Source organism: Homo sapiens, chromosome 11, assembly GCF_000001405.40.
Source record: "Homo sapiens chromosome 11, GRCh38.p14 Primary Assembly".
NCBI lineage: Eukaryota > Metazoa > Chordata > Mammalia > Primates > Hominidae > Homo > Homo sapiens.
The window spans coordinates 32,168,824-32,184,833 of record NC_000011.10 but is presented as its reverse complement, the minus strand read 5'-3'; the positions used below and the strand labels follow the sequence as shown (position 1 = coordinate 32,184,833).

The following is a 16,010-nucleotide window of genomic DNA, read 5'->3' as shown; positions in this document are numbered from 1 at the left end:
CTTTTGTAACAAGAAGAGGGAAGCCGTTTAGGACTGGCCCCTTCTGGCCCCTCACAAGGCCACAGGGGGAGGCTTTTAAGAGGATGGTTTTTTGGGGAAAAAAAAATGAAGTGGAGGGTGGGGTGGGGGAGATGTCAAAAATCAGGAACAAAAAAGCTCAGGCACCTCTCCAAGCCTGGCTGAGCAGTTGCCAGGAGGCCAGGTGCTGCTGCTGGAAGCCACACTTCCCACTTGGCATGGCCGCCTGTCGTGGCAGCCATTTCCTGCGCCTGGGCTGGGAGGGCTGTCTCCCTGCTGGTGTGAGCTCGCCAAGATAGTTTCAGAGAGGGAGATAGAGAGGGAGGGAAAGAGAGAGAGAGAGAGAAACAGACAGACAGAGAGACACCAGAAGGCCCTCATGGAGTAGTTCTGTCTGGAGGCTCAAGGGACAGGCCTGCCTTCTTCATTGCTCCTGAGAATTCACTTCTCCTGCCTGGTTCTGCCTGGTTCTTCCTAGGGCAGGAATGCTTCATTGTGAGGCTCAGGAAATTCTTTATTGGTTGAGCCCTTTCTGGTTCCAGCCCAAGCCGAATTGCCCCTGGGAGTGTCCAGAGCCTCTTAAAGGATACCCTCTAAATCCAGTTCAGAGCTTGGAGCCATTGTCTTCCAGAATCAGAGCACAGGGCTGGCCAGCCTCCAGTTGCTGTTCCTTCCATGTTTTCAAGCCACTGTTGGTTCTATTTCGTCTCTGTGAAGAATCATGAGGAAAAAATATGAATCTCTTTCTAACCATCTATTTCCCAGCAGTAAGGATGCACCTTGAAATGGTTGAAATGGGCTTCCTTCCTCAGCAGTGGGTTGTGTTCCTGGTAAGCAGACTCCGGTTGAACCACACCTCTCTGGGGCTGCTTCTTCCAAGCATGGAGACTAATTCTCACTCTCATCTGGTAATTTTTAATCCAAGTCTGTGTAGTGGGATAGGAATGAATGATGCTGGACCAGACACTTATTCAGCTGGCATTTATTGAGTACCGCTGGATGCTGGGCACTGGAAAAGGTGGGAAGTACGCAATATATAAAGAGACTGTACACTAGTTTACAAAATAGTGTGACTTGGCCTCTAGGGCCAGATGACCTGGGTTTGAATTGTTGCATCATCTTTTACCAACTCCAAGGCAGAGGACAAGTTGTTAGCTTCTCTCAGCCTCAGTATCCTCATTCATTTGAGGATCCCTGTTCCTTCCTCACAGGAACAGGGATCTTATGAGGGTTATGAGATAGTCCCCACAAAGCACTAATGAGCACGGTGCCTGGTGCATAACATGGAGTCAATAGGTGGTAGCTCTTATTATGAATGAGGTTAGCAGTAGATCATTTGGGAATGCCAGAGATGAGCCCAAAGATTGGGCTTTGCCTGGAGGAGGGGACACCGACCTGAAGAGGGTAAGCAGGAAAGAGGCAACAGAGAGGTAGCAGAAAGCTTCAGTTTGGGGAAGGTGTGGTTAAAAAGCCATCTGGAAGCCTTGTCCAACATGAGTGTTACACTCACTGACTAGGTTTGAGGAGGGCATGATTAAACATTCTCCAAAAGGTCTTGGGAGGTAAGCTTTGCCTTTTGAGAACTGCAACATTTATAAAATAATGAAAGGACTAAACTGGCACAAAAGCAGTAAGCTTTGTGGTGGTATTCTGGCTTGTAATTTGCATTAGACATAATTACATTTCTTAAACATAAAAGGAAATATTTGTGATCTGCAGAGAGGGGGCTCAAACACACAAAGGCAGGTCTCTCTTGGTTCTCTGACCTATTAAGTGACAATTATGGTACCTGTGTTAAACATCTTCTAAGTGAAATAACTTGCCATTAGTAGTTCTGTGCTACTAATGCATTTCCTCCCTCAGTTGCATAAATGCCAGCATTTGTGATTTTAAATAATAGCACATAAAAGCCTAGAAGGAATCTTTGAAGTATTTGCTGACTTTCTTTGCCACCACAATTTAGAATTTCAAGTTCCTTTCCTCCTTTATTTTTCCCTTCAGAGTAACTGTTGACCCCACTGTAGCACCAAGGAATAGGAATGGCCATGTATAGCAGAAAATCTAGAATAACAGGGACTTAAGATTGCAATTATTTTTCATATAAAAGAAGTCCAGAGGGCAGACATAGCTGGTATGACAGGGACCCGGCTTCTGTCTTTTCACTCCACCTAGGCTTCCATCCTAAAGTCACCTGTGATTTAGGAAAGTTGCTGGGGCTTCAACCATCAGGGCGGGAGGAAGGAGCAAGTAGGGGAGGACAGGTGGACAACACTTCCAGCTGAGTCAGCTCCCCTGGAGAGCTTTTCTGGAAGCCCCACTTAACACTTACGTACCATTCATTGGGCAGCACTTGGCCTCTTGGCCACGCTATCTGCAAGGGAGGCTGGAAAATGTAGTCTTTTAGTTGAGTGCGTTGGCACCTGGGCTAACACTGGGGTTCTGTTAGCAAAGAAGGAAAGAATGGACACTGGATGGCAGTCACAGTCTCGCCCATGCTGTCTTCTTTGAGGCATTTCAATCTACACCACTAGCCTGTATTTTTACATGTACCTTGCTCAGGAAAATGTGGTGTTCTTTGCAGTGAAGTGACTTTTTTTGTCCCCATCTCTGGTCTGGCCCCATTAGGTATCTCAAAGACTTTCTACAGCCTGGAGAAAAATGCCAAGGTTTGCTTCAAAGGAATGTGAGGATGGATACCCAGCATTTCCTGTCTTGAATCTCAACTCTTAGAGATCTATTCTTGGCTTCATTATCTTAACTGCCTTCATTTCAGCCTGTTACTTATTCTAATTTAAGCAACTGCCTTGACTCTCCTGTTTGATGAACCCACTGGCTGAGTCCACTACCCCAACTCTGCTTTCTTAACTGCTGGGCTCCCCTGTCTCTAAAACAGAGAAATGCCGTGGGTGGTCCTTTAGGTAATGTCTCCAAAAGGCCCCCTTGCCTGTGCCCTGTTTTCAAGTTGGATTGCCTGGGAAAAACTGAACCCTAAGGGGGTACTCAGACATTCAAAATGATGGGGAAGGGTCAAGATTATCAGAGCAGCTGATGGCCACTGGGGTATGGGATGAGGAGAGGGCAATTATGTGGGGCAAATCATCTTAGCTGAGAAAGGAAACTCAAGTAAGATAGCAGTTCCATAGAATCCAGAGATCAGGCTGGGTGTGGTGGCTCACGCCTGTAATCCCAGCATTTTGGGAGGCCGAGGCAGGTGGATCACTTGAGGTCAGGAGTTTGAGATCAGCCTGGTCAACATGGTGAAACCCCATCTCTACTAAAAACAAACAAACAAAAAACACAAAACAAAACAAAACAAAACAAAAAATTAGCCGAGCATGGTGGTGGGCACCTGTAATCCCAGCTACTTGGGAGGCTGAGGCAGGAGAATTGCTTGAACCCAAGAGGCAGAGATTGCAGTGAGCTGAGATCGCGCCACTGTACTCCAGCCTGGGCAACAGAGTGAGACTGTGTCAAAAAAAAAAAAAAAAATCCAGAGATCATATTTGTAATAAAGAGCAGGGCATCCCACAGTTGCATAGTCAGGTTTTTAAAGAAATCATTGAAAATAACTCCTGTTGCCTTTTTCCTTTTACAAAAGCAGCACAACTCTTATTATTAGAAATTTTAGAATTGCAGATTAGCAGAAACATCGCAATTGAAAAGCACCGTGATTCCATTATATAACAGTAACTGCTATGAAGATCATGGTAGCTATCCTTCCAGACCTTTCTCTGTACATTCACATACATATATATACAGTCATGCATTGCTTGAGGATGGGGATACCTTCTGAGAAATGTGTTGATGGGTTATTTTATCATTGTGCAAACACCATAGAGTGGACTTACTCAAATCTAGATGGAATAGGCTACTACACACCTAAGAAACATGGTATAGCCTATGGCTCCTAGGCTACAAACCTGTACAGCATCTTACTGTGCTGAATGTAGGCAATTGCAACACAATGGTAAGCATTTGTGTATCTAAACATAGAAGAGGTACCATAAAAATATAGTATTATAATCCTATGGAATAACTATCATACATGCAGTCTGTCACTGAGTGAAATGTCATTTTTCATGCATAAATTTATTTTTAAATAAAATGGGATTACACTGTAGTTACTATTTTATTCTATGCTGCTTTGATTTAATAATGTGGAATGAACACTTTTTCTCTCTGTCCAAAACATTAATCTACTTTAGACTGCTGGTGTTCCATTGAATAGGTACCATAATTTCATTAAGGAATCAATCTATGGTTAAGCATGTTTCCAGCTTTTCACTAAACAATCCTTGGAAGATTATCTATACAGCTGAATCTCTGAACCTATCCACGCTTATTTATTTGGCATAAATTCCTAAATTGAGAGTCCTAAGAATGCATACATTTTTAAAGACTTTTGGCTAATATGCCAAATTTCCCCCAGACAGTTTCTCCCCAGCACTGTCGAGGACTGCCCTTTGGGTGGAGGGTTCATCTACCCAGGATGAAGAGCTGATATCTTTGGTAGCTTTGTAACTGCTCCAGCCCCAAACCACACGTTCCACCCAAAGGCAGTACAGTGTACACGTACTTATTCTGTAATGAAGGAGTGCAGTAAAGAGGAGGAGGGAGGGATCAGAGTACAAACCCCCAAGGCATGACAGGATAGGATTGGCCACGTCTGTCAGATTGTTTGGGGAAGTCATGTTCTCAATAAAATGAACCCAGCAGACAGATCGAAGACAGAATTCAGTGTGTGCTTATGAGAAGCTTTTGCTCACATTCCCCTCAGCCAGTAGCAGAGAGACTTTCTTATGAACATATTTGGCTTGAAGTGTTTGCATCTACTGAATCCTGTGGAAAAAGAGTGGACACCAGGCCGGGTGCAGTGGCTCAAGCTTGTAATCCCAGCACTTTTGGAGGCCCAGGCAGGTGGATCACCTGAGGTCAGGAGTTTGAGACCAGTCTGGCCAACATAGTGACATAGTGAAACCCTGTCTCTACTAAAGACACAAAAATTAGCTGGGTGTGGTGGCACATGCCTGTAGTCCCAGCTACTCAAGAGGCTGAGACAGGAGAATCACTTGAACCCGGGAGGCAGAGGTTGCAGTGAGCCAAGATCGCGCCATTGCACTCCAGCCTGGGTGACAGAGCGAGACTCCGTCTCAAAAACAAAAAAGTGGACACCAAATGGTTAATGGAGAACAAGAGTCAGGAGGAGGAGAGGCAGGCCAGAGTTGTGGGGGCAACAACTTGCTGATGACATAGTCCAGCCTGGTCCCAGCCTGTGAGGCCACCGTGAAATGTCCTGTGCCTTGCTAGTCTGCCCCAAAAGTGATCCTGACATGGCCTCAGTTCCCAGACCCTCGGCGCTTCTGTTTGGGAGTCCCAACCCTATTTCCTGGGCTGGAGCCAACTGGATCCCTGTCTCCATCACTTTGACATGAGCCTGGTAGAGTCACCTGAGTCACCTGGTTTGCTTGTTTGGCTAAAGGACCAGGCTTTAGCACCTTTTGACCTTGGGCCTTCTCTGGCTCCAAGTAACTGGAGGCTGTTAGAGTCAAAGCATCTCTGAGGGAAGAGACCATGTCACTTATGTTCTCTGGGTCCTCTCCATCAGTCTCTTTTTCTGTATCTAGTCCCATGGACCTGGTTTCCCTGTACCTCTTTGCCAGGCTTTTTTGGCGAATAAAAGCCATCAAGAGAAGAGATAAGGGATTGGAGAGTGGGTAGCCAGGTGGACAGACACAGAGAAGTGAAGGTTCTTCCTACAACAGTAGGCAGCTGAGGAGGCACATGAAGGCATGCAGAGAAGTGGAGCCCAGGCACCCTGGCACGCAGGCGCTGTGAGCCTGGTGGGTGTGCTGCTGGTGGAGGATCAGCCGATGAAGTAGTTCTGTGGCATCTGCCGAGTCCTATTAAGTGCCACGCACCAGCAGCCGCAGGAGATTTAAGAAAAGAAAAAGCCACTAAAACATCCCACCTGTTACCAAGGAGCTGGCAGAGGAGAAGCTGACCTCAACATTCACAGGAAACTGTGGCTGCTTAGGGAAGAGGTGTGTGCAGGGGCCTTTGGGAGCAGAGGGCAGAAGGAGCCTCACTCTGGCAGCACACAGCTTCCCAGAAGTCTAAGGCGCACTGAGTCTTGGGAAGGAGTTTGCCAGGTCGAAAGCAGAGGCTAGACAGCAAGGCGGACGGGTGGGCAAAGGACAGAGCATGGAGGGCTGAACATCGGTGGAGAATCTGGGGAAAAGGGGGAGTTCCACAGCCTGGAGGGTCTGGGTTACTATGTTAAGGAGGAGGAACATGACCTTGTAGGCAATTTAAAAGCTATTTCTCAGGAGCAACAAAAAGGTAGCTGAGATAGAAAAATTAGTCTTTGAGAAGAAGGGGAAAATTTTGGAGGAGGAAGGAGGATTCGAAGAAGTGGAAAAGCAGAGGAAAAGTAGGTCAGAGTGGGATGGGGGGGTGGCATGAGCAACAGAGGTGGGATTAAACAAGGCATGTGGAGGGCATGAGGAAAGACCTTCATGGTTGGCTGCAGGGTGTGTCAGGGGTGTTGGGAGATGAGGCTGAAAATAGATCATGTGGGGAGAGAGGAGGCATTGGAGGATCTTTGAGCAGATACAGGGAAATTAAAGTAAATGTTACAGGAGGATTCACTTCTTGGCCATGTATAGATGGTTTGGACAGAGGGAGAGACTGAAGGCAACCAGGCCAGTTATGAGGTTCTTGTACAAGTCCTGTGAATTCCATCTTGAGACCAAGTCCTCTTTGCTTCCTGATTGTCTGGGTCCTAAAATTACCATTACCATAGGGATTGAAGAAGGATTATCAAAAAATATATATCTAGACAGTATTATTTTACCTCCCTACAGAAATGGCTTTCTTGAGTTTCAACTTGAACCTCTGTGCTTGCCTGTTATGGAGTGCTGACAAAAGAAGCTCTAAAGAACATTTCTGTATATTTTGCTAAGCTGTCATTAAACACATTGACAGGGGTGGGTGTGTTGGCTCACGCCTGTAATCCCAGCACTTTGGGAGGCCAAGAAGGGTGGGTCACTCGAAGCCAGGAGTTCAAGACCAGCCTGTCCAACATAACGAAACCCAATCTCTACTAAAAATACAAAAATTAGCTGGGCATGGTGGCAGGCACCTGTAGTCCCAGCTACCCGGAAAGCTGAGGCATGAGAATTGCTTGAATCCAAGAGGCGGAGGCTGCAGTGAGCTGAGATCATGCCACTGCACTCCAGCCTGGGTGACAGAGCAAGACCCTGTCTTAGAATAAATAAATAAATAAATAAACAGACAAACACATTGACAGTCCTTTTACTCAGTGACCTTTCTGTAAGTAACTACACAATCAGTTGCTCTCAAATTTAGCATGAGGAAGGAAACACATCTATTCAGTCAAACTTATACATCCCTTTGAAGGCAACAGGTAATGAGAACCATATATCCTAGTGTACTTGGCACTTTTTCCTTGGCTGCCAGGAAGCTCAGAACTAAATTTGCTTTGCGAATGTGGTAACTGCCTTACTCAGTTGCTCTTTGTTCTTTCTCATTGACTCCCTATCTTTTTTTTTTTAAAAAAAATTCTTTTAAAAATTTATTATTTTTAGTATGTTTAAATAACATAATCTGCCTTAGATACTTCTGGGAAATAGACTGTATGTATAATATGATTACATATTAAATGAAATAATTTCCTCCTCCCTGGGCAGGCAGCCCTTACTGTGCTTTTCCAGGCAGCCAGAAATCCTCTCTTTGGTCCCGTTGGCCCTGGCTCATGTCGAGTTGGGATGCCCAGCCTGCCTCTCCATCAGTTCATCCCGCCAACCTCCTTAGTGAGATACACTCGCTCTGAGCCCATCCGCCTCTGTTCGCTGGCCTTTTTGGCTTGAGATGTTTTCTATCTTTTCTATATTTCAAAGCTTTGTGGTAAATAATCAATTCAAACCAGCACCGAGTCTCTCTTTCTGTAATTCTAAAAACCCATTAAATTATATTGTTGGGAGAAAACAATAGCTGTGCTAATCATGCCCTGTGCATGCGCATCTTAATTTCCCCAGAGGCCTGAATATGAATTTTTACTAACATGTTAATTTTGTGTGTTAATCAGTAGCTGTAGGCCGAATGAATGGATTGACTATGTAAAACTGTTTGATATTGAAACAACTCCTTTTGACCCCCTCAAATTGGCTTCATTCCCCTAAAGACGGTTAAAGTTAATTAAGCACTCAATAGGTTTATGGTGTTTAAATTAAAATATATTACTCCTCATTGTGTAGTCATCAAGTGAGAAAGACATCCTCCTCCTGGCTGCCTGGCTGGCTAATGGGCTTATCAAAATTCATGATGTAATAAGAAGGCCGACAAGTGCATGAGAGACTCTGGCTGTCACTCAAGGAAAAAACATGGACCACCTTTGCCCACTAGAGGGCACAAGAGAGCCATGAATGCCCATAGCTTGGCGGGTTGGTTTTGGGGATGCAAGTAGGAAAGGCCCTTTGTAGGCCAATTTCTGTCGCTTGTAAAAAAAAACCAATTTATTCTTTTTTTTCTTAATAAATGTGGAGCTCTCTTTATTTCGCTAACTCCCTTCTTTCTTTCCTTCCTTGTTTATATTTTATACCCCTCTCCTTGCTTCTTAGATTTATTTGTGATTCCGCTCTTGACAGTAGTATGCAGTAGAAAATAGCCCACATGGCTTTCAGGAAAAAACAAAACAAAACGTTGCCATCCTTCCTCTGGATAACTTTTCCATAAAATTTTCATTGTATGTGGGCGGGGGGAGCAGGAGCCTTGTGCTTCCCGAGAAAATCACTGACACGGTGCTGAGAAAAATATATAAAATAACACTTAACTCCTCTTTCCAGAAGGACATGTGAAAGCTATAATTGTACCTGCTGACTTTCCCTCTGGGCCTCTCTGGGGCTGGGGGTAGGGACTGTGGCTTTGCAACCTACCATACAGTGAGTGTTTAGATCGGGAAGAATTGCCTAATGAAACCGGCAGAGTGAAGGGGAAGGTAGTGGGGAATCCTGCAGGAATACCAGCTCTGAATTAAAACAGGGCCTAGGCCCCACGAGCTGATCAGGGTGTTGCAACTCATGTCAGATCCAAACCTGCCAGCAAATCCCATTCTTGACGATGAGGACATTAGTCAGATGGGGACAATTGTCTGTGGTCATTTTTGGCAATGTGACTGGTGGTAGAGATTGTTGGGAGATTCAAAAGGATTCTTACCAGTGGATCTATAGCTCATTTTTCATTTTTGTAGAATGGTTTTAAGAAATTTATACTTTTAGGTAGCTCTTAATTGTGTGTATGTGTGCATGCATGTTAGTGTGTGTAGGGGTGAGTCACGAAATGGACATAAGATACCACTTTTAAAGATAAGTAGCCATGAGTATCAGACAAGGAGAAAATGGGTGATATGACAAATGAAATAGGAGTCATTGCAAGGAAAACTTAAAGAATACCAGGTTGCAAAAAAAATTGTGTTTAAAGAGGTGGGAGTCAGGCCAGGCATGGTGGCTCATGTCCGTAATCCTAGCACTTTGGGATGCCAAGGTGGGCAGACTGCTTGAGCCCAGGAGTTCGAGTTCAGCCTGGGCAACATGGTGAAACCCTGTTTCTATAGAAAATACAAAAAATTAGCCGGGCATAGTGGTACATACCTGTAGTCCCAGCTACCCTGGGAGACTGAGGTAGGAGAATCACCTGAGCTGAGGCAGTCAGGCTGCTGTGAACCACCATTGTACCTCTGCACTCCAGCCTGGGTGACAGAATGAGACCCTGTCTCAAAAAAAAAAAAAAAAAAAAGAAAAGAAAAGAAAAAAGAAAAAGGGCTGGGCGCGGTGACTCACGCCTGTAATCCCAGCACTTTGGGAGGCCGAGGCAGGCAGATCACGAGGTCAGGAGATAGAGACCATCCTGGCTAACATGGTGAAACCCCGTCTCTACTAAAAATACAAAAAATTAGCTGGGCGTGGTGGCGGGCGCCTGTAGTCCCAGTTACTTGGGAGGCTGAGGCAGGAGAATGGTGTGAACCCGGAAGGCGGAGGTTGTAGTGAGCCGAGATCGTACCACTGCACTCCAGCCTGGGCGACAGATAGAGAGTCCGTCTCAAACAAAAAAAAAAAAAAGGAAAGAAAAAAGAAAAGGAGGTGGACAGACATTTTGAAGGGCATTGTTTGGCTGTCTTCTAATCTTCTTATTCATGTTTTCAGTAATAGCATGGGGCTTTATTTTCAAAATACTTTCGATTGCTAATAGTTAATAGTGAATATTCCTCAAGGGCAGTGGTTTTCCAGCAATGGGGTAGGGACCAGAACCTGGAGGGTGTGGCCAAGGGGCTGGGGGCTCTGCCCCTGCTTCTACCAGAACGCTCTGCCTTTTTGGGGCTCCACTTAAGATCTAATTTGGAAAAGAGGGTTCCACTGCTAAAAGAGTAAAAGAGAGAGATAGAGGCAAATTTAAAACCTCTGGTTTAAGGCTGGCCTTGCTGGCTTATGCCTGTAATCTCAACACTTTGGGAAATTGAAGCAGGAACATCTCTCAAGCCCAGGAGTTCAAGACCAGCCTGGGCAACATAGGGAGATCCTGTGTCTACTAAATAAATAAATAAATAAATAAATAAATAAATAAAAATTAGCTGGGTGTGGTGGCAATCTCTTGTAGTCCCAGCTACTCAGGAGGCTGAGGTGGGATGATTGCTTGAGCCCTGGAGGTTGAGGCTGCAGGGAGCTGTGATCACACCACTGCACCCAGCCTGGGCAATAGAGTAAGACCCTGTTTCAATAAATAATAAGTAAATAATAAAATTAAACCTCTGGTTGACTGCCTTCTGGTTTACAGAGTTTTCCCATGATCTCACTTGGACCTCACAGAGACTTCATCCTCCCCAATCTCTGTTTTCAGAAGAGGAAGCAAAGTTCATCAAGATGAAGAAATATATTCCTTGTTACACAGTGAGTGGCAGAGCTTGGACTTGAGCCTGAGCCTTCAGAATCCAAATTCAGGACTCCTCCCTTACAGCAGGATAGAGTAGAGTGAGAACCTAAGATCAGACTTGAAGAGGGACCTGATGTGTGATGGCACCCTGGGTGACACAAGGAAAAGTCTCCAGGGAGAGGGTGGTGGTGATTGATTAGCCGGGTGGAGGGAGAAACCTGAGATTTAATAGGCAGGACAGCAGGAGGCAGCAGTGCCCCAGAAAGGGAAGAAACCATCGGAGCCTCCAGCGTCCTGATTGCCGGCCACAGCCCTCCCAGCCAGTCCTAGCCTCTGCATCTGGGACCAGGGATCCTGCCACTGGGCATCTCCTTTCATTTTGGGATTGTCAGCCTCATTCCAGTTCTTCAGCAGGTAGGAAACTGAGTCACAGGGTACCTAAGCTGGCCAGGAATCAGCCCTGCAAATCTGAGGGCCCAGCCCACAGAGTCTCCCATGGCTTTCTGGGGAAACGATTGACGTTATGGGAGTGAAATGGGAACAACTGTGGCCCATCAGCCCCGTGTGTTTAGGGACAGCCCCTCTGGGCAGCCTCCTTTCCAGAATCTCCCACGGATCCTTTGACCACAAAGCCGTGCACACGGTCATTTCATTCACTATTAATGTGCGCCCTTCCCCTGGCGTGGCTGGCTCTTTCTTAAAGTTAACCAGTAACTGGTCTTTTTGTTATCCGATTTCTGTGAGAGGAGCCCTGCCAACAATTCTCACCAAGGGAGCACTTCTGATTTTTGTTTCCTTTCTCTTTCGGGTCTGCGGAAAACCTTTCATGTCCCTTTGTGTCCTAGAGAACGGCACGCCGCCACCCAGAATGTGCCAGCCTACTTGGCTTTCCTCAGCACTGCCGACGGCGCTCTAAACCATTCCCCTAGCATCACATTCCTGACTTCAAACAGGCCAGGGAGATTGAGAGCTCCTCGAATAAGTGGGACTTTCTGGAGATTCTCTTGGGAAGGAGTGACAGGCAGAGAGCAGGAATAATTACACTGAAAGTTTGTTATTTGCTTGCACAGTTTTCTTCCTTTGTGTGGAGTTTATTCCCGGAAGCCCAAAGAGGGGCTTGATAAACAGCAGAAAGGCTACAGAGCCAATTGGCTGGAAAAGAAATGACAATAAAAGTCGCACAGAATGAAGTCTTCTGTCAGCACCCATTTAAGTTAAACAGGTTTACATGTTGCAGCAGAGAATTAACTGTTTGATTTGCTAGAAACCAAGAGAATTTTCAGCACTTGGAGTGAGAAAAAAAAAAAATTTACTTTTAACTTAGGTCTTCAAACCTCCCTCCCCTCCAAAACCAGGACCTAATTGCAATGATTTTCCCATATGGGTCAAAGGGATCATTGGAAAGTCCAAAGGCAAGGCCCTCGGCCCTAAGGGTCTGTAGTTTGCAGCCTAGGAGTACACTCTGTGATAGAAACCTCTCCATGTCATCTCTCCTAATTTGTGCGTGTAATTGACAGCTTGTTAACAGTTCATTAGGAACACTGAAACCCATGTGGCAAAAACAAATCTATCTAGCAGAGAGGATGTAGTCCCTTCTTCTGAAAGCCTGTTTATTAAAATTTTTGCTAGAAACAAAATAGCGTGGCAGGAAATAACCCACTGCATCCTTTCAAAACAAGAACTTTCAGTCCCTCTCTGCTAAACTTCTTGTTTCCTGGGACACAGTGTTGTCTGGCTGGGCTTTGATCGAGCAGAACAGGAACCCGTGGGCCTGTGAGGGGACATACTCAAAGGTCCTCGGGGCAGCGAAGGGAAGACTCATCCATCCATGAACACAGATCAGTCACTCTTTTTTTTTTTTTTTTTTTTTTTTTTTTTTTTTGAGACAGCGTCTGGCTCTGTCGCCCAGGCTGGAGTGCAGTGGCGCGATCTCGGCTCACTGCAAGCTCCGCCTCCTGGGTTCACGCCATTCTCCTGCCTCAGCCTCTCAAGTAGCTGGGACTACAGGAGCCCGCCACCGCTCCCGGATCAGCCACTCTTTAAGGCTCGGAGGATTGGGACTTAACAATCCTGTGATCTTCCTGCCCTCCTACTCACTATTTCTCTAGGTCTCTGGAGGTCTTAAATATTGTCTCGGTGGAAGCTTCTGGTAAAACAACTTGCAATCTAATATAATATAATTTCTTATATTTCTCCCTGATTCCCCTGGGGAAAATTAATTGCCCCTTCCTCTCTGTGCCACAGCACTTCACACTTCCTTTCGCTATGTGTGGTCACGTGTGCTCTTGCTACTTAGATGTCTCTCTTGGCCAGAGCATCAGTGAGCTCGTGTATTTTCTCCATCTCTGAATCCTCCGCACTGGGCATTGTTGCTTTTAGGCCATCTTTTAGCATCCCATTCATTCTCAACCACTCCCTCACCACCAACCCCTCACCTCAGTCCCAACCATCTAGGGGATTTATAGAGGAACACATGGACGAGTCTTCAGGCTGAGCTGTGTTGAAATAGGCAGGCTTCTACAAAATGCATTCAATCTCATTTTCCTTTCATTGCATCAGATATTTAAAGAGCACCTACTGTGTTCTAGGACTTGGGTACATAATGGTGAGCAGAACCGACCCTGACCTTATGGATGTCCTGATTGTTAATTACAGTAATTGCTACAGATGATAAACTTGGGAAGAACATTCCATCTTTCAAATGAATGTGGTATTTTAAAGCCCTATGGAGCGGAAAGATACCAGGGAATACTGTAGTATTGAGAATGATTCTTTTTCAAAGTGCATTCCTTGCTTTTTTAGCCTCGGAGTCCCTGGTACACATGGTGCAGTCTTGTCCATAGAAAGAGCTTAAGAAAAAATTTATTTAAAAACCCTTTCATAGAAATTTAACAGCACAAATTTCCTTAAATCATGTTATTGGATCTTATTAGAAGATTTGCCAACCTCACATTTGACATGGCTTTGTAAGGTACTAACAGAATACTTGTACTTTGTTCCAAAAATCTTTCTGTAATTTTTAACTCTTAAGAGGTATCTGTGTCTTAACATCCCTGGATTATATTCAGGCTTTCAATGGAGCAGTCTGAGGATATCCCACCCAAGTTGGGAGGTTTGTTTTCTTAAAAGCGTTGTGCTAAGGAGATTTTTCTCTAGCCAAAGGAGTCTAGTAGTTATGACAGTTCTCTGGAGGGATTGAAATTAATTCCATGTGACATAGTTGAAGTTACTAGATATTTCAGCAATTCCCCCGTTGAATACCCACACATCAGGCAAGATAAAGTAACAAGTTTGGACATATTATGTTGATTGTGGTGGACATTTGTTGGGGCTTCTTCAATATCTACTCTTAGCTTCTCACACTAAGGGACCTTGAGTTTTTTTCTTTGGGAATTCTTCCCTCTCCATTTTCAGCCATACAGTTGGGTGGGATTAACCCCTCTTCAACTCCTGGGGTGGGCCTCAATTGGTCTAACCAGTTAGGAAAGCCAGCAACCACTTGCACTGATTGGTTCGGAGGTGGACATGTGACTCAGTTCTGGCCGATGGCAAAGAGTGAATACTAGGATTTGTGGAGAGGTAGCAGAAGGGGCACTTTCTCCTCTGCTGGGTGTGAGACCTGCCATGTTTGAAGACACTCTGAGATCTCAAGGTGATTTTCTGGAGCTGCAGGAGAGCACTGTGTGAAGCTGAGAGATTGTGTTGATGCAGAGGAACACAGAGTGGGAAGAGCATGAAATCAGATCGTTGGTGACTTCTAGTTATGTGGACTGCTAAAGCACTCACACCCTCTGCCTATTGTTTGAGTGAATTTGAATTGGTTTTTCTGTCACTTGCAACTGAAGAGTTCCTAACTGATAACTACTAATATCAAAGTGTCTAATACATTAAAATCAGTCACTCAGGCATCAGTAATGGAACAGAATTTAACCAAAGACAACAACTGTGAAAGCCTTTGGGTAGGGTAGCTCAGCTGTGGGAACATCAACAGACCCTTTTTACCCTTTAAAACAAAGCAGCTATAGCAGGAATCCAAGGATGGGGATGTGTTCAGGGTCGGGTAGTCTGAGATGCTGGCGATGCCTTGCAAAGCTCATGAATGTTCCACTCTCTTGAGTCTGTTCCATTGCTTGGCATAAAGCAGTTTATCTGTGTGTGTTAAAGGGTAGCCTAAGGAAATCTGCCTGGAAAAGTCCTGGGCCATCATCCCCTGGGTAAGGGAGGGGTCTGAATATCACTTTACATGGAGAGGTAATTAGAGATAATGGGAGCATCTTCGAGCTCCACTAACTGGAAGCCTCTAGACCTGTACTGTCCAATACAGTAGCCAGAAGCCACCAGTGGTGATGTGCTGTAAGTGTAAAATCTACCAGGGATATGTAAGACTTTGTACAAAACAAAAGAGTAAAATTTTCATTTACACATTGAAGTGAAAATATGTGGATATATTGGGTTAAATAAAATATATTATTCACATTAATTTCACCTGATTTTTTTTACTTTTATTAATGTGGCTACTAATGTAGAAAATATAACATTGCGTACATGACTCACGCTCTATTGGATAGTGCTCCTCTAGAAAATTGAGATCACATATTATTTGCTTTGCATGCTAATGGCCCAGAGACAGTTTTCCATGTTGTTTTTTGAGTGTATGAATCATGACTGACAGCTGCCGTTGAGAGCACCAGTCAGCAAGTACCCACAGCCTGTGCCTCTGCTGTGTGTGAGGGGCCTTTCTGTAGATGTTGTATCCTGATGTGGTGAGTCTAAGGAAGGCCACACCCTTGAGAATAAAAGACAATGTTTCCCCTGTACAGAGTGACACTCCTAGAGTTGAAGTCCAGGAAATAGGTGCCCTCAGACAAGAAAGAGGGCCTTGGAAGGGAGGCCTTGGTAGGTTGGAGAGGGGAGTCCCACCCATCTGTCCCTGGACTTCAACCCTTTGGATCTGGACAAAGAGGGTTCTAGAGATGGCTGAAGACACTTCTGGAGTGGGTATAGGGAATGTGGTTTCTGCTACAGAGGCAGGCTGGAAGCAGATAGGG

The 16,010-nt window shown here is 45.1% G+C and overlaps 3 annotated features.

Moving 5' to 3' along the window:
- Positions 7,395-9,344: an enhancer, noted in NCBI's record as "PAX6_hs2 or HCNE2". NCBI's record gives its function as "enhancer in hindbrain" and the evidence as "EXISTENCE:transgenic organism evidence [ECO:0001131][PMID:19073165]".
- Positions 7,646-8,890: an enhancer, noted in NCBI's record as "VISTA enhancer hs113". NCBI's record gives its function as "enhancer in: dorsal root ganglion[4/12]" and the evidence as "EXISTENCE:transgenic organism evidence [ECO:0001131][PMID:17130149]".
- Positions 8,082-8,388: a conserved region, noted in NCBI's record as "conserved region; ultraconserved element uc.329". NCBI's record gives the evidence for it as "COORDINATES:sequence similarity evidence [ECO:0000044][PMID:15131266]".